This window comes from Homo sapiens, chromosome 6, assembly GCF_000001405.40.
Source record: "Homo sapiens chromosome 6, GRCh38.p14 Primary Assembly".
Taxonomy (NCBI): Eukaryota; Metazoa; Chordata; class Mammalia; order Primates; family Hominidae; genus Homo; species Homo sapiens.
This window is the reverse complement of record NC_000006.12, coordinates 152,361,317-152,379,539: the sequence shown is the minus strand read 5'-3', so window position 1 is coordinate 152,379,539 and position 18,223 is coordinate 152,361,317. Positions and strand designations below refer to the sequence as shown.

The 18,223-nt window shown below is 41.1% G+C and overlaps 1 protein-coding gene across 49 annotated transcripts in view; it reads left to right on the top strand.

Annotated features, from left to right (window-relative positions):
• Window positions 1-18,223, top strand: part of SYNE1 (spectrin repeat containing nuclear envelope protein 1) — a 515,676-nt gene that overhangs the window by 257,823 nt on the left and 239,630 nt on the right. For 48 of the 49 annotated variants that reach the window (XM_047418508.1, XM_017010610.2, XM_017010609.2 and 45 more), the window contains 8 exons: window positions 2,628-2,764; window positions 2,982-3,159; window positions 6,321-6,503; window positions 9,926-10,069; window positions 10,413-10,568; window positions 12,158-12,322; window positions 14,521-14,693; window positions 17,217-17,370. In XM_047418508.1, coding sequence (XP_047274464.1) covers window positions 2,628-2,764; window positions 2,982-3,159; window positions 6,321-6,503; window positions 9,926-10,069; window positions 10,413-10,568; window positions 12,158-12,322; window positions 14,521-14,693; window positions 17,217-17,370 — 1,290 coding nt within the window. The remainder of the gene's footprint in view (window positions 1-2,627; window positions 2,765-2,981; window positions 3,160-6,320; window positions 6,504-9,925; window positions 10,070-10,412; window positions 10,569-12,157; window positions 12,323-14,520; window positions 14,694-17,216; window positions 17,371-18,223) is intronic. The other variant, XM_006715421.3, reaches the window with a different exon arrangement.

Here is an 18,223-nt window from a genome sequence, read left to right as displayed (position 1 = left end):
GCTAGGGTTCTTAGGGCATTGTTTTGCTTTTAGGGAGGACTTGTCATTGTTGATGATCACAATAAGAATTAAAGTATTTATTTTATGCAATTAGATGACAATACTCAAGAAATTCTTTAAAACATAAAAACAGATGATCTATAAAGTATATAATATAATATTGTAAAAATAATTCTATTTACTATGTTTGCGAAACTCATTTATCTTAATATCCTTTGGGATATTAGCTTTGGAAATAATTTTCTTAAGCTGTATAAGGTGGAAAGATGCATTCTAGAACTTAACAGAATCAGAAATACATAAGCTGATATTTATATATTGACTCTACTGACATACTTTAGGATGAAGTTATAGAAATGTTTTAAATGTAACGTTTTGGTCAAAAACTTTTCACTTTTAATGTCATCCCATTCATAAGTAACTGACTTGAATCTCCAGTATTTTTATGTTTTTGTTGAATGCTAAGTTTCTTTAGTTCTTACAATGTTCTGTCTTAAGTAAAAGGTTCCATATGGTGTAAAATAGTTGGTCCTAGTTTAGTGTTTGGAATTTCAGAGAGAAATTGTTTAGTTGTTGATGAATTTTTGTAAATAAAAATGTCTTAGACTCCTCCAGCCCAGACACCGAGTTAAATAAAGAATTGACAAACCAAGAGAATGTCATTCCTGCTCTCATAATCACAGCCTAGGTGGGGAGATACGCAAGCATAAAGCCAATGTGGATACTCCTTGTGATGAATGTCTGCAAGGTCCTGTGTATCCTCAGATGAGAAACCCGAAGAGGTGGGAAGGAGGGCAGGGGGTACTTAAAGGAGTTGTTATTTGAGTTGAGTCTTGAGGTATAATTAAAATGTGACCTGACAGGTGAGGTAGAGGAACAGCATCAAGATGCAGGATCATTGAGGAATCAGAAAACACAAGAGAGGAACCTAGAGAGGAGGAATCAGATTAGGAGGATGTAGTGCCACCCCCAAAAGAAATAATGAATATGTAAGTGGGTCTGTGAAAGTCAACGTGCAGAGGCAAAGAGGGGAATGATGAAAGGAGCTAAGACACAGAATAAGCTAGCCTGGATATCTCTTGCATAGAGTGAGAAAGGAAACAAAGGGAGAGGCCCGGATGATGCTTAATCTTCTGATTGACATCAGCGGGGGACAGTGGTGCCATTTACCAGGACGAGGAATGAAGCACAGGGCTGGTTTGTTGAGGGATGTGGTTTCTTTACAAATCTGGGCCATCTCTTGACAAATATCAGACAATAATGGTCACAGCAAAGCTATTTGAGTAGTTACTCATCTTTTTGCCCCTCCTCCTTAATTTATTTTGTTTTTTTGCTTCAGTGCTACTGTTATCCACAGTGTTTACATATTTGGGAGTCATTCTCCTTCTGATTTTATGAATTAGACACTTAGTGTGCTAGGAACTGTGCTAAGTATTTGACATTCATGATTTCATTTGTTCCTTGTGACAATCCTATGAGAGGAACACTCTGAGTGCAAAGCACCTTGTGTAACTCAGATGACCATGGCCTCGATTTCAGAGGTGTACTTTTCAAGTCCTAAGGCTTTATTTTGGATTGGGTGTACACAGTAATGTAGCTATTCATGTGTCTCCCTCATCTATTAAATTGTGAGCTCTTCAAGAACAAGAATCTTACCTTTATTCGTGGGGGGACTTGGGTCCCAGAATCCAGCAAAATGCTTGGCACACGGTAAACATTTAGCAAATATTTGATGACTTTATGAATGAAACTATGAAATAAATGAATTACTATTTAAACCAGACTCATGGATTATAAGAAATTTTTAATGTAAAAGTTAACTGTATATACAACATAAAATCAATTGAAACAGGATTCAATTTTGGAGATATATATATATATATATATATATATATATATTTTTTTTTTTTTTTTTTTTTTTTTTTTTTTTTAAGACGGAGTTTCGTTCTGTCCCCCAGGCTGGAGTGCAATGGCACGATCTCGGCTCACTGCAACCTCCACCTCCCAGGTTCTAGGGATTCTCCTGCCTCAGCCTCCCAAGTAGCTGGGATTACAGGCGCCCACCACCACAACTGGCTAATTTTTGTATTTTCAGTAGAGATGGGGTTCACCATGTTGGTCAGGCTGGTCTCGAACTCCTGACCTCAGGTGATCCACCCTCCTCGGCCTCCCAAAGTGCTGGAATTACAGGCGTGAGCCACCACACCCGGCCCTTAATATATATATTTAATCCAAAATAAGTGTTGCTTTTCTTTAAAATAATTTGTTTTCACCTTTAAACAATATACATATCTCCTGATGGCCTAGTCCAACTATTTATAGACAATGTAGGCTATTTTTTCTTTTTCTTGTCTTATTTTTAAGTCATTTCACCACTTAATCACTTAACTACTTTGCAGTATTTGATGCTAGAGTGTCTATCCATGGCAAGAAAAAAGGGACAAATGAGCCAGGTGCTATTATTTGTCAGAGGAATCCTGAAAACAGGCTTCATTTCTTCATTGAATCTACCATGTTGGTTCTTCTCTCACTAATAATTTATAATATGATTGATGCATGTATAGTGTGAAGATATGGAGATCACCCAATGTAAGTGCTCGCTTCTTTGTCTCATTATTTCTGAACAGGAGATACTGGATGCTTTGCAAAAAGCAGAGCCTAGAACAGAGGATCTCAAGTCTCAGCTGAATGAACTTTGTCGATTTTCCAGAGACCTGAGTACCTACAGTGGAAAAGTTTCTGGCTTGATTAAAGAGTATAATTGGTGAGCATGAACCTTATTGGTGTTCAAGATATTTTTATACAAATTAGAAGCTAGAAGTTTATTTTAAGGTGTAATTTCAAAATAATATTAGTTCAGCATTAAATATATTACTAAGTGAGGTAAGTGCACATTCTAAGAACTGGTGATTCTATCAAACATGATTTTCATCAACTTTATCGCTTTTTCCTGCCATTAAATTTTTGCGTCACCTTTTCAGTCTTTGTTTGCAAGCATCCAAGGGCTGCCAGAATAAAGAACAGATTTTACAGCAAAGATTTCGAAAGGCCTTCAGGGATTTCCAGCAGTGGTTGGTTAATGCAAAAATCACTACCGCCAAGTGTTTTGATATACCTCAAAATATAAGTGAAGTTTCAACTAGTCTTCAGAAAATACAGGTAAGGGTGTTATCAATTAATTCTAGTAGCAGTGCTGATGTGAACTAAAGTTAACCTCTAAATCAAGGGTCCCCATCTCCTGGGCCGCGGACTGGTACAGGTCCCTGGCCTGTTAGGAACCAGGCCGCACAGCAGGAGGTGAGCAGCAGGCCAATGAGCGTTACTGCCTGAGCTCCACCTCCTGTCAGATCAGCGGTAGCATCAGATTCTCATAGGAGCCTGAACCCCATTGTGAACTGTGCACACAGAGGAACTAGGCTGTGTGCTCCTTCTAAGAATCTAACTAATGCCTGATGATCTGAGGTAGAACAGTTTCATCCCGAAACCATCCCCCCTGCCCCACCCCATCTGTGGAAAAATTGTCTTCCCTGAAACCACTCCCTGGTGCCAAAAAGGTTGGGGACCGCTTCTCTAGATCTTTTCAGAAGGGCAGAACATATAAAAGTTTTGCGTAAGAAATTCAAATTTCAAATAAATCCCCACTTAAAACAATTGCTTCTGTATATGAAGAGGAACCAGTTCATTTATATAAATGCACACTATTTTTATATATTAATGGTGATCCAGGAAATAATAAAACGTTTTTTCTATGTGACAAGCATTGTTCCTGAGCACTTTAAGTGGATTTTCTCATTTAATTTTCACAACAACCATTTCAGGTATGTAAATTTGTTACTGTCAGTGTACAATAGGGTAAAAGCGTCAGTGAGGTCACAGAGCTGGTGTGTTAAGATAGCCAGAGCTGCGGTTATATTTTATGTTTGTTCATTTGGGTTTATTTTTCTAGTCTTTTTTTTTAACCTAACTGTAACTTCATGGTGCTAATTCACATACCACCTTCATTCAATAGCAGCACTTTTTAAGCACAGTTATTGAAATTGCTTTTCGTACCTGTATGTCCGCTCATTTCACATAGCAGCAGTTCTGAGTGATTGGTTATGAAATTTGAGTTTCTTTCAGAGGGCACAGGTATGTAGAACACTGTGTGTAAGCACTCGTGCTTGAAGTGTCTCTAGTAGGAGCAGACTCTGAAACAGTATTGTTCATATGTAGTTCACCTTTTTAAATTCTTGGTTAATAACTTAATATAACAGGACAACTCTGCCTGTGAAAATTTGCTCCATTTAAAATTCTTCCAAGCCAGGCGCGGCGGCTCACACCTATAATCCCAGCACTTTAGGAGGCCACAGTGGGTGGATCACTTAAGATCAGGAGTTTGAGACCAGCCTGGCCAACATGGAGAAACCCTGTCTCTACTAATAAAATACAAAAATTAGCCAAGCGTGGTGGCAGGCGCCCGTAATCCTATCTACTTGGGAGGCTGAGACAGGAGAATTGCCTGAACCCAGGAGGCAGAGATTGCAGTGAGCCAAGATTGCGCCACTGCACTCCAGCCTGGGCTATAGAGCAAGACTCTGTCTCAAAAATAATAAAATAAAATAAAATAAAATAAAATAATAAACTAAAAATAAAATGTAAAATTCTTCCCGTTTTGCTTCAGGCTGGTGGGTAGAACTGCAGAAACTCAATCACCTATTTTTCTATATTGGAGAAACACAGTGCTATTTTTCTTTTCTTTTTATTTATTTATTTATTTATTTATTTTTGAGAAAAGTGTTTACTCTGTCACCCAGGCTGGAGTCCAGTGGCCCTATCTTGGTTCACTGCAACCTCTGCCTCCCACGTTCAAGCAATCCTCCTGCCTCAGCCTCCTGAGTATCTGGGATTACAGACATGCGTCAACACGCCCAGCTAACTTTTGTATTTTTGGTAGAGAAGGGGTTTCACCATGTTGCTCAGGCTGGTCTCGAAGTCCTGGGCTCAACTGATGTGCCCGCCTCGGCCTCTCAAAGTGCTGGGATTACAGGCATGAGCCACCACACATGGCTAGTACTGTTTTAGAGGATAGCCTTTGGCCTTTTCTCTGACCCTCCCACCACAGCATGCCTCCATGGACAGGGATGGCCATCCATTAAGACAAATGTCCTGGCAAAGTTTCTTTAATCAAAATCTATGACAAAATATCTATGCTTCTGTTTCTTGTCAGAATAAATAACTTTGAGCTTGTGCTTTCAATTTCTTCTTTAGCACTTGAAAATATTGAGAATCGACTGTAGAATACAGAATCTACCCATTTTTCTAGAGGAAGACTATTCTTTGAGCTCTAGCCACATGAAAGGAAAAGTATATACTGTAGCTACACTTTATTAAACTACACTTTGGCACTAGGTCATTGACTTGTCCTCATAAGGACAACCCTATGAAACACTCTCTTGTTATTTTTTTATATAAGCTGCTACTAATAATGTAATCTGCTCCATTTAATAGCATTTATTTGAATAAGATTCCCCACGGAAATTCATCTGCTGTCTTTTCCTAGGGAGAATTGTGCTTCTGCTGAGCAGATTATGTGTTTTTATCCAGTAGGCTCTGCGAGTCTTGTCCCTGGTTGTGTTTACTCTTTCACTTCGGCAGCTAGGATCCTCAGAGCCAAAATCATAATCCAGCTCCACCAACTATATGGAACTACAAGGCATTTGTTTTGTAAACGAGTCTTAGCCAGAGTTTATTTTATTTTACAGCTCTTATCTTCCCTTGGTCTTCATTTCTTCTCCTGATTATTTTTATCAAATTTTTAATATTTTATGAGATTGCTCACCACCTTTTTGAGACAAGTCAGAATTTAGATTGGTAAATAAAGTAGTTTGCAACTTGACTATTAAAGGATAACCTGGGTCATTTAACGTATACAGTAAAAAGAGCTTACTTCCTTTTCTTTGACTTTATTAAGAAATAATAGAAGGTGGGTGTGGTGGCTCACGCCTGTAATCCCAGCACTTTGGGATGCCAAGGTGGGCAGATCACAAGGTCAGGAGATCAAGACCATCCTGGCCAACATGGTGAAACCCCGTCTTTACTAAAAATACAAAAAAATTATCTGGGTGTGGCAGCATGCACCTGTAGTCCCAGCTACTTGGGAGGCTGAGGCAGGAGAATTGCTTGAACGCAGAAGACGGAGGCTGCAGTGAGCCGAGATCGCACTACTGCACTCCAGCCTGAGTGACAGAGTGAGACTCCATCTCAAAAAAAAAAAAGAAAAGAAAAAATAGAAACAACACACAATATTTTCATTATGGCTAATTCTATATTTTCTTTTATAGGAGTTTTTGTCAGAAAGTGAAAATGGACAGCACAAGCTAAACATGATGCTGTCTAAAGGGGAACTTCTGAGTACCCTGCTGACCAAAGAGAAAGCGAAAGGGATCCAGGCCAAAGTTACAGCTGCAAAAGAAGATTGGAAAAATTTTCATTCAAATCTCCACCAAAAAGAATCTGCTCTAGAGGTATATATAGCCAACCACATGGAAGCATTCTGTGTTATTTGTTATTGTTGTTGTTGTTAGTGAAATCACAGTTTCTGTATATCAAAGCCCCCTTGTCAATGATTTTGGTTACCCCTCTCAGAACATAAGAAGACAATGGGCTAACAGTAAGGAATAGCCCAATGCTAGAAGTGGGAGCCTCCCTGAAGAATTAAGTAGCTTCCTGCATGTTAGGGTCTATTGTCACTGACTTGGCCTTGCACTCTCCCAGCAGGAACAGCCAGTTTTACATTTCAGCAGAACACTTAGCCTTTCATGTGAACTGTCTCATTTCTGGAAGGTGGTCTAGGAGAATGATCAGGAATATCTACATAAGCTGCAAAATGCTGCAGATGAGAGTGTATATTATAACTAATGCAAATACCAGGTAGTAGGTTTTTAGGCATTAAGTATGCAGAAACAATGTTTATATAATTTTATTTTCTCCACACACAATAGAAGATGAATCTATTATAACCATAAAATAATTACTGCCACAATATAATTATTTTTTTTCCGTCTGAGACTATCTATTTTATGTATCGACTCTTCTTTCAGAGGAAAATTTAGAGGCATAGAGGGTATCTTTTCCTTTTAAAACACTTTTTGGCAGAATAGATCCTTCATTTGTTTGTGACCATTATTAATGAAGGTTGGAAAAAGATAATGATAGAGAAATAATATTCAGTAAGAGAAAATGTGTATTTCCTCAATTATTTCCTGATCCAAGACCATTGATCTCTGTTTTGTAATGGTGACTGTTTTTTCGTGGCCAGCATCCTCCATTTAACAGAGTGATAACCATTGTGCCTAGAAATGTTTCTTTAATCCTTCAGGGATCGTTAATGCTATGTGGTCTGAGCTCTGAAGCATCAGCTGCTGAGTGTAGCATATTTAGCATTGATTACAAGGTTATCTAGTTCAAGAGATGCCCAAGAGTAGGTGAGTAGGTCATGAATTGCCTGTTTTCTTAATCTGCTGTTCCCCTCAGAATAGGTATCTATCTGTTTTACTTGATTCTTTCCTTTCCTTTTTCCCTTCCTTTCTCTTCTTTTCCTTTCCTTTCCTTTCCTTTCCTTTCCTGTCCTGTCCTGTCCTTTCCTTTCCTTTCCTTTCCTTTCCTTTCCTTTCCTTTCCTTTCCTTTCCTTTCCTTTCCTTTCCTTTCCTTTCCTGTCCTGTCCTGTCCTGTCCTTTCCTGTCCTTTCTTATCCTTTCCTTTCCCTTCCCTGCCTTCCCCTCCCCTCTCCTCCCTTCCCCCTTCCCTTCCCCTCCTCTCCCCTCCCTCTCTCCCTACCCGTCCCTTCCCCAACCCCTTCCCCTCTCCTCCCCCTCCCCCTTCCCCTCCCCTCTCTCTCTGCCTTCCTCTTCCCCTTGCCCTCCCCTCCTCTCCCCTCTCCTCCCCTCCCTTTCCCCTCTCCTCTCCTCCCCTCCCCTCTCATCTCCTTTCTTTTTAGAACCTAAATTCCTGATCATGGTCCCCCATTTGCCCTGTTTTGTGGTGTATTAGTTCATTCTCACGATGTTATAAGGACAGACCCAAGACTGGGTAATTTATAAAGGAGAGAGGTTGAATTGACTCACAATTCTGCAGGGCTGGGGAGGCCTCAGGAAATTTACAATCATGGCAGAAGGGGAAGCAAATACATCCTTCTTCATATGGTGGCAGGAAGGAGAAGTATGAGCCAAAGCGGGAAAAGTCCATTATAAAACTGTCAGATCTCATGAGAACTCACTATCATGAGAACAGCAACATGGGGGTAACCACCCCCATGATTCAATTACCTCCCATTGGGTCCCTCCCAAGACACATGGGGATTATGGGAACTACAATTCAAGATGAGATTTGGGGGGGGACACAGCCAAACCATATCAAGTGGCCCCATGAGGCTCTAGTAACAGGAAGATGGAAACACCTTGAATTTATGAATTTAATTATTCAACAAATATTTGTTGAGCATCTTCTATTTGTGAAGGACTAGTCTAGGCTCTGGGGCTATAGCAGAGAATAAAACAGAACCAAGTCCCTGCCTTCATGCAACCTAAATTTTGGTAGAATACTCCAGAAGTTATTTTGGTATTTTACATTTGTGAGATACTAACTTTTCAAATGATTCTTACAGCTAACCCATATCCCTCAGAGGTGAGTAAGGCAGATGTGATTTTCCCCATATTGTAGACGACCCAGACCAGATACAGGTGGAACCTTGAACTATTCTCTCATAAGTTTCATTAGCTCTTGCCACTTAGATTCTTCAGCTAACCTTTATGTACTCCCTCTTGGACAATACTACCTAAAGTACTGGTTGTTTTTACAGCCTTTAGTTGACTCACAGGGTAACATAAATAACAAATTCACATTCACGTCCACCTACCACTTTATAAGTAAGAGACAGTAGATGCAGACACCTTTGCTAAAGTTAGACAGTACCATATAAAACTTTATCAAACACATTTTACACCTAGGGTACTACATAGTAACTGTGAAAGTATTATGACATTCTTATGTGATAAGCACATAACATTATTTAGTATTTCTTATCACTTGATAAATCAGAATAAATTATTTATTAACAACATAATCACATAAACTACATGGATATGCTACTTCTTGTACCCTCATTAATGAAAATCAACCAAATGTTGACTAACATTTCTTTACATTCCTGTAAGGTACTATGGTGTGTCTCCGGAAGTGTCAGACCCAGGCCCTCCCCTCATGGAGCTTGCAGTCTAGTTCTGGAGACAAGGCACACCTGTGTCAGATGAAAATTCACAATCCAACCTAGTCTATGATGAAGTATATAGGCATGGTATAGACAACAAATGCTCTAGAAGTTGAGAAATGGGTGTGATCTCAGAAGTGGGCCAGAGAGTTAGGGGGGAAAAATTCTATTTTCAAAAGGAGAACCCTAAAAAGTTCTTAAAGGATATTCAAAAATTGTGTTTGTGCCAAGGTAAAAGATGGAGTGTTTCAGACTTTGGAGCGGGCTTGGTTTTTTTTTTGTGGAATTTTTTTTTTTTTTTTTTTTTTTTTTGAGACAGAGTCACCCTCTGTCACCCAGGCTGGAGTGCAGTGGCATGATCTCAGTTCACTGCAACCTCTGCCTCCTGGATTCAAGCAATTCTCCTACCTCAGACTCCTGAGTAGCTGAGATTACAGGCACATCCCACCATGGCTGGCTAATTTTTTGTATTTTAGTAGAGACGGGGTCTCATCATGTTGCCTAGGCTGGTCTTGAACTCCTGAGCTCAAGCTATCTGCTCACCTCGGCCACCCAAAGTGCTGGGATTACAGGCGTGAGCCACTGTGCCCAGCCTGGGTGGACTTTGAATGCCAAGTGAAGGACCTTGGACTTGCTATTAAAATATTTTCTTGTCCTGGACACTATCTAAAACCTTGCAGAATCTAAAGATCCAAATGAAGGACTTTGAAGTAAGTGCTGAGCCTATCCAGGACTGGCTGAGTAAAACTGAGAAGATGGTCCATGAAAGCAGCAATCGCCTCTATGATCTGCCAGCAAAGAGGAGGGAGCAGCAGAAGCTCCAGGTGATGAGCCCGCCTCCCCGTAGCCCCATCTGACCTAGTCTTTGTCCGTCCTCTGTCGACCTTACAGATGCATGCTCAGCACCCTTGAGTTAGACTGTGCTGCCGTGAGACATAGTGTGTTTTTCCCCATTTCTGGTGGATTTTATGTTTTCTGACTTTCCTTGGAAGTATGATTTGTTTCCTTCCATGATTTGTGCTCCACGGTGTGTAGATTGGAGATAATAAAGCCTCCAGGGTACACGGACTGCCTGCCAGTGTTGATTTCCATGTTCTCTGGGCCAAAGCTTCGTCCGCGATGTGCTTTTCCCCAGCCTCTGAATAGTAACTTGCTTGTGCTTTTCAGTCTGTCCTTGAGGAAATACACTGCTACGAGCCTCAGCTCAACAGGCTGAAAGAGAAAGCTCAGCAGCTGTGGGAAGGACAAGCTGCCAGCAAGAGCTTTAGGCACAGAGTGTCGCAGCTGTCTTCTCAGTATCTAGCGCTAAGCAATTTAACAAAGGTAACGCCTGGCACGTGCTGTGTGTGAGTGTGATACTGATGTCGCAAAATTGGAGTTGCAGCAGGTTCTGCAGGGTGTGCATTGCATCCTGACCCGCCCACAGTGTGGGTCTCCAGGTCAGCAGTAAGGGGCGTGTGTGCTGTTTCCTTAGCCTTGCAATCTGAGTTCATCATTGTTGTTGCATAAGCTTGATGTGGCTCTCTGAAAAGGCCGAAGGAGGTTTCAAAGATTGAGGAGACTTTCAGTCTTCATTATTGCACAAGATATTCCTTTTAATACTGAAATGATATGTTTCCCAGGGCTTTGATTTGGAAGACTCAAATCATAAACATGATTTTTTTTGTTCTAAATAATCCCAGAGTTTTTGTTCTAAATAATCCCAGATTAAATTACTTTAGAAAAAACATGGATTCTAAACAGTTTAAATTTTATTAGATTAAATATAATGATATTTTTAAAAAATTCATCTGAATCTTTGCATTCATTATATAGTAGTCAAGGATGTGTTGATTGAGAGTTTCAGTTCAGATTCTAGAGCAGAGCTCAAAATTGGCAATGGTTCAGACAACTGATTAAACCTCTTTTCAAATAGCTTAGAAGAAAATAAATGGAATCCTACTACAATCTCATTTAGAACATTCAGCCATTTTGACGTAGATGGTAACGTAGACCCATTTTGAACTGTGTGTTGCAGACCTATCTTGAGCTTTATGTGGCTTATAACCTTTGTTTCCTATGTTTTTAACTTTCAGGTGTTAGAATATAGGGACACTGGTATAATTTAGTCTTTAATTTGGCCTCATCTGTTCTGTAAGTGTGCATTTACAGAGGGTCTGCTCATTTGGGTCTTCAATACACATCACTGAAGCAGTCACACTAGCTTAGGTCTGGGAGTAAATAGTCTATGTTTACACCCATTTTTATTCTATGATTGTTATTTTGGATGTTTTTATAAAATCTGGCACATACCTAAGTTAAGATAAGGAATGAATCATCTTAGAATGAATGAAGAACATCTTTCCATTCCTTTGTATTTACTTAGATACCAAAAGTAATCGATATATGAATATTTTGAGAGCTGTAGATTATTCTTGCAAAGTCTTCACTGTGTTAGATATAACCTATAATTGATAAACAAAACCATGTGTATGGTCCCATGTTTTAAAATTTAGAGATATTACAAAAATCTCAGATTATTTTTTTTTTAGAACTCTGGCTACAATGTAGGTCATGTGGGTTGTTGTGTCAGGTGAGCCTAATGTGATATGTGAAAACTAGAAACTACTTTGACCAGTCTCCCAGACAAGGCATTAGGGAGAAATTTTACTGATTTAAAATAATCATGATAGTCATAAAGAATTGGAGAGGCATAAAATTGTAACTTTTTTTTTTGCTTTTGACCCAGTTATTCTAATAGTTTTATGATTTAGAAAGATCTTTAACATATCTCATAGATTTAGGCCAGACTTGCCTCGTATCTGTGCAGCGTATGAAGCCATGACTGATTGCCTTTGTTTCAAACAAACTGTTAGCTTTGCAGTTTGTCTCTGTGGGATGGACAGCTCGAAAACCATTTCTGTCATTTCCAGGAGAAAGTGTCAAGACTGGATAGAATCGTTGCAGAACACAATCAGTTCTCTCTTGGGATTAAAGAATTACAAGACTGGATGACGGATGCGATTCACATGCTGGATTCATACTGCCACCCGACATCCGACAAAAGTGTGCTGGACAGCAGGACGCTCAAGCTCGAGGTGTGCATCTTTACACAGAAATATCTCCAACCTACAGAATTTGTTTTTCTCAAAATTTCCCGTCTCCATCCACCTGGGGTGATGATGTCACATTCTCTCCATGATAAATCTCAGATGCTTTGTGAGTGCAACGCTGTCTGCCTTGGGTGCACATGCCAGAGAATTCCTGAATCATCTGACCCCGGATGTTTTCCAAAAAATAAAATAAAATAAAGCCCGAATGTGATTACTTGTGTGATCACTTGTTAAGAGGCTAGTTTTAAATGAGATCACAGACATATTCATTATGGGAAAATATTTTGAGGAAACATTTTATAGGGCAAAACATTTTCCATCTTTTTCCACTCACTTGTCTTCCTGTATTTAGCCAATTCTCCTCCCATCCCAAGTTATGAGTTCATTTTCGCATTTGTGAAGAAAATAATGAGTCTGCATTCATTTGTATACTGGGTGCCTTCTAGGAGACCGGCACTCTGTCTTGACACCAAGGAATCAAAGGTGAATAACATAGTCTTTTTCCTCAGGGGTTTTACTGTCTGAAGTTGGAGGTCGAAATATAGAAGACAACAACCACAGATGCAGATGTATTTATGGTGTTATAGACATACACAGGAGTGGAACCGTGCAGAAGGGATGGGGTTGAAAGTTGGGAGAGATTTCTTAGGAAGTGTGATAGGTAACCCGAGTTGTGTGGGGTTTAAATTTTTTTTTTTAATAAAATTAAGACAGAGTCTTGCCTTCTTGCTTAGGCTGGTCTTGAACTCCTGAACTCAAGCAATCTTCTTGCCTTGGCCTCCCAAAGTACTGGGATTACAGGTGTGAGCCACTGCGCCCTGCTATAAACCAAGTTTTTGTTCTGTTTTTGGTTTTTGTTTTGTTTTATTTTAGACGGAGTTTTGCTCTTGTTGCCCAGGCTGGAGTGCAATGGTGTGATCTCAGCTCACCGCAACCTCTGCCTCCTGGGTTCAAGCGATTCTCCTGCCTCAGCCTCCCAAGTAGCTGGGATTACAGGCATGCACCACCACGCCTGGCTAATTTTGTATTTTTAGTAGAGACGGGGTTTCTCCATGTTGGTCAGGCTGGTCTCGAACTCCCGACCTCAGGTGACCTGCCCACCTTGGCCTCCCAAAGTGCTGGGATTACAGGGTGAGCCACCGCGTCCGGGCAAAACCAAGTTTTTAAGAATGATAGGGAGAATTATTTTGGCAAAGATAACTGGGTGGAGACTTGGGAATGGTGGCAGAGAGGGGAAAAGTGTGAGGAACAGCCAGAGGAAAGAACAGCGTAGTGTGTGAGAAATTTCTACCAGTTGCTTATTGCCACAGCAGAAACTGGTGGCAATGGGTGGCTGAAGCTGAGGCTTTGGAAGTTGGCAAGAACCACATTATAAAAAGAGATGAAGCTTTGTCTTTTAGGCAACATTATCAGTTTTATAACTTGGAATTAAAACTTCCTTCTGGCCGGGCGCAGTGGCTTACACTTACAATCCCAGCACTTTGGGAGGCTGAAGTGGGAGGATTGCTTGAGCCTAGGAGTTCAACACCAGGCTGGGCATCGACCTCACCTTTACAAAAAAAAAAAAACATTTAAATTAGCTGGCCATGGCAGCATATGCCTGTAGTCCCAGCTACCAAGGAGGCTGAGCTAGAAGGATCGCTTGATCCCAGGGGTTTGAGGCTGCAGTGAACTATGATTACACCACTGCACTGAAGCCTGGGAGAGAAAGATAGACTCTGTCTCTAAAAAAAGCAAAAGAAGAAACTTCCTTCTCACATAGAAAAAGAATAGTACTTATGAAGAACATGAAATATATAATCTATTTCTATGGGTTTTTTTGGTTATAGAGACCATAACATTTATAAGCTCTTCATCCTATAACCTTTGAGAAATCATGAATTCTACTGTACTATATTTTTCCCTTGTTAAAACCAGTAAAGTAAAACTTCATTGGAAGGAAGGGATTATTCAGAGAAGACTGCAGACCTTCAACACCAAGGCCACTTAGTAAAAACCAGCGGGTAGCTGGTGACTGGCATTCACCAGCAAGCCACTTCCCCACCCTCTGTCTCAGCCGACTGGGAGCTCCAGGGCTGGGCACAATTGCATATTATTCTGTGATCTTTAGGAGCTCTGCAATATTTAAAGCCAGCAATGTTAAACATACAAATGACAAAGGACTTCTGTATGTGTTTTCACAGGCTCTATTATCAGTCAAACAGGAAAAAGAGATTCAGATGAAAATGATAGTGACCAGGGGAGAATCTGTCCTTCAGAATACTTCTCCAGAAGGCATTCCCACTATTCAGCAGCAGCTGCAGAGTGTGAAGGATATGTGGGCATCCCTTTTGTCTGCAGGGATTCGTTGTAAAAGGTGAGGGAAACTACAGCCAAGCACTGGGGAAGCTATTACTAAAAGATCAATATAATACTACTGAACAGACCATTCCTGTGGCCGGCTTCCCTTCCCTTCCCTTTCCTTTCCTTCCTCCCTTCCTTCCTTCCTTCCTTCCTTCCTTCCTTCCTTCCTTCCTCCTTCCTCCTTCCTCCTTCCCTCCCTCACTCCCTTTCCTTTCTTCCTTCCTTCCCCCTGTTTTCTCTTGATTCCTCTTTCTTTTTCTTTCTTTTTTCTTATTAGAACAAAAGAAACTGGCAGATGTAATCTCACATTTAGATTGACCTGAATACTGTGCCAATGTGGTAATATAACTAAAAATGCATGTTTCTTTTTGTTGTTGTTGCTAACATAAAAATACAAAAAAAAAAAGATTCATAATGTAAAAATATAAGGATTAAAACCAAGTAGTGGACTTGGGAGGTAAACCCAGGAAATACAAATAGAGGAGTGGGAAAGAAATGGCAGGCAGGGGGAGGGCAGTAAGTAAAGGGTGTTGTATTAGCCCGTTCTCACTCTGCTAGGAAGACATTCCTGAGATTGGGTAATTTATAAAGGAAAGAGGTTTAATTGACTCCCAATTCCTCATGGCTGGGGAGGCCTCAGGAAACTTACAATCGTGGCGGAAGGGGAAGCAAACACATCCTTCTTCGCATGGCAGCAAGAGAGACAAGTGCTGAGCAAAAGGGGAAAAGCCCCTTATAAAATCATCAGATCTCATGAACACTCACTGACTATCACGAGAACAGCATGGGGGAAACCACCCCCATGATTCAATTACCTCCCATTGGGTCCCTCCCATGACATGTGGGGATTATGGGAACTACAATTCAAGATGATATTTGGGTGGGGACACAGAGCTTAACCATATCAGGTATGTTATCAAGCGAGTTGCCCACCGTTGTGAGCAACTGCAACTTAATCCAGTCAGGCAATGCTGGGAGCTGGTATACAGTGTGAGCCCCAGTTATCCCATCCAAGGGCAGGGGATCTGGAGTATTTAGAGACAAACTCATATGAATTAGAAGAGCAGTTGAGGGCTGCCCCTCAGGGTGAGGCTCCCCTGTGCCTATATTGCCCTCAAACTGAGAGTACATCAGGGGCTAGAGAATGTCTTCAAGCTAAGAGATCTAGGAGCAATTAGAAGTCCAACTGGACTGTGCTGCAGTGGTGTGATCCGGGGGTGTGGATGGATGGAGCACTTACAGTGTCTGCTACAAAAGGACCCAAAACCTGGTAGTACAATTAGGCAGAAATGATTAATGGAATTTATTTATTTTTATATTTATTTATTTATTTATTTATTTATTTATTTATTTATTTATTTAGTTTGAGACGGAGTCTTGCTCTGTCGCCCAGGCTCCAGTGCAGTGGCACGATCTCGGCTCACTGCGAGCTCCGCCTCCCGGGTTCACGCCATTCTCCTGCCTCAGCCTCTCGAGTAGCTGGTACTACAGGCGCCCGCCACCATGCCCGGCTAATTTTTTGTATTTTTAGTAGAGACGGGGTTTCACTGTGTTAGCCAGGATGGCCTTGATCTCCTGACCTCGTGATCCACCCGCCTTGGCCTCCCAAAGTGCTGGGATTACAGGCGTGAGTCACCGCGCCCGGCCTGATTAATGAAATTTAAAATATAGCATGTGTAGGCCGGGTGTGGTGGCTCACGCCTGTATTCCCAGCACTTTGGGAGGCCGAGGCAGGCAGATCACAAGGTCAGGAGATCAAGACCATCCTGGCTAACACAGTGAAACCCTGTCTCTACCAAAAGTACAAAAAAATTAGCCGGGCATGGTGGCGGGGGCATGTAGTCCCAGCTACTCGGGCGGCTGAGGAAGGAGAATGGCGTGAACCCGGGAGGCAGAGCTTGCAGTGAGCCGAGATCGCGCCACTGCACTCCAGCCTGGGTGAGACGGCCAAGACTTTGTCTTAAAAAAAAAAAACTAGCATGTGTATTGAGACAAGGGAAGTGCTTAACTTATCGATAAAATAAATAATTAAGTTTTACTATTTAGACCAAGTCAGGAAATATTGTCCTTTTATTTCATTACGATTTTCTGATATTTAATCTCACGTAAGGTGGTTACTGTTCTTACTTTTCTCTCCTGCTCTCAATGTCCTGCTCGGTTTGATAGAGTTAAGTGTTGCTTCTCTCCCTGCCCAGAGCTTTGGCTCCAGAAAAGACCCACTCAGGGGATCTCTCTCAGTTTTGCCTTTGAGGCTCCCCCAGTGTCTCGTGTCCCCCCAGCCGCTGACTCTTGAGTTGATAGCTAGTTCCATGTTTCTGCATATTGGCCTGGGTTTAAATGTTCCTTGCTTCCTGAGGCTGCCCTTCAGACCTGGACTCAGTGTCCTTAAGCCCTGGGCAGCCTGCTCACTCCCAAGCAAGCTTCTTCCTGATCTCTTGACCCCTTGCTTACTGGAGTGGATGGAGCAGACACAATGACATTTTAGACTCCTAAGGATTCTCAATGTGGATTTATTGTCCTTTCAAATCCCTTTCAGCCAACTCGAAGGAGCTCTCTCCAAGTGGACAAGTTATCAGGATGGCGTTCGACAGTTCTCCGGTTGGATGGATAGTATGGAAGCCAACCTGAATGAATCAGAAAGGCAGCATGCGGAGCTGCGGGATAAAACAACGATGCTCGGAAAAGCCAAGGTGAGAGCTGGATTTCAGATTCCATGTGTTTTCTCACAGGCTTCTTTAGAATGCCACAGTCAGACAAAAATGGGATTACGTGTACCCTAGGGCAGTGCACATAAGCAAATTACGTTTGGGGCTTTTAGTATAATCTCTAAAGGCTTCTTAAACTGGACTTTCATTTGTGATTACTTTATTAGTGAGTGAAAATTTTTCCTTCCAGGAAAACCATGTAGATCCATGTTTTATGATACAAACCATTTAAAATGTAGCACCATGAAATATCTTTTAATGTCTTCAGCCTGCTCATCATTAGGAAGTCTTCCTTTTTTTTTTTTTTTTATCACATCCCTTTGTGTTATCTTTTGTGCATTCGTCATAATGCTTACATTAGTACAGTACTACATGGAAAGATTTTTTTAAATAAATAAATAATGGCATGTTCTTAAAACTTATTGGCAGTAGTATTCAAACATGAAGTTTTACAGTCCTTTGGTTTATAGCTGCAGCCTCACTCCAGGGCATGATCATCGGTCAGCCTGTTCCATCACCCCCTTACCATTATCCTAAACAGCACTTGTGATCTTCTACACAGAAATCCTTTAACCTCTCACATTCTCTATTCCTGCTCATTTGTATCACCTCACCCTGAATATATTACATTGGAAACCTCATTATTCTCAGTGCCTTCTTTCTCATTGCCACTTTGCATCTGGCACTAGGTCCTACTGATCCATCCTCTTCACCTGAACTGGAACAGACTCCTAATTTTTCACCTTGTTTCTTGCCTCCATCTATTGTTATCTCCTATAAAGATGAATGTCTCACTTCCTGCCTGAGGTCCTGTGTTGGCTTCCCATTGTCTACAGGA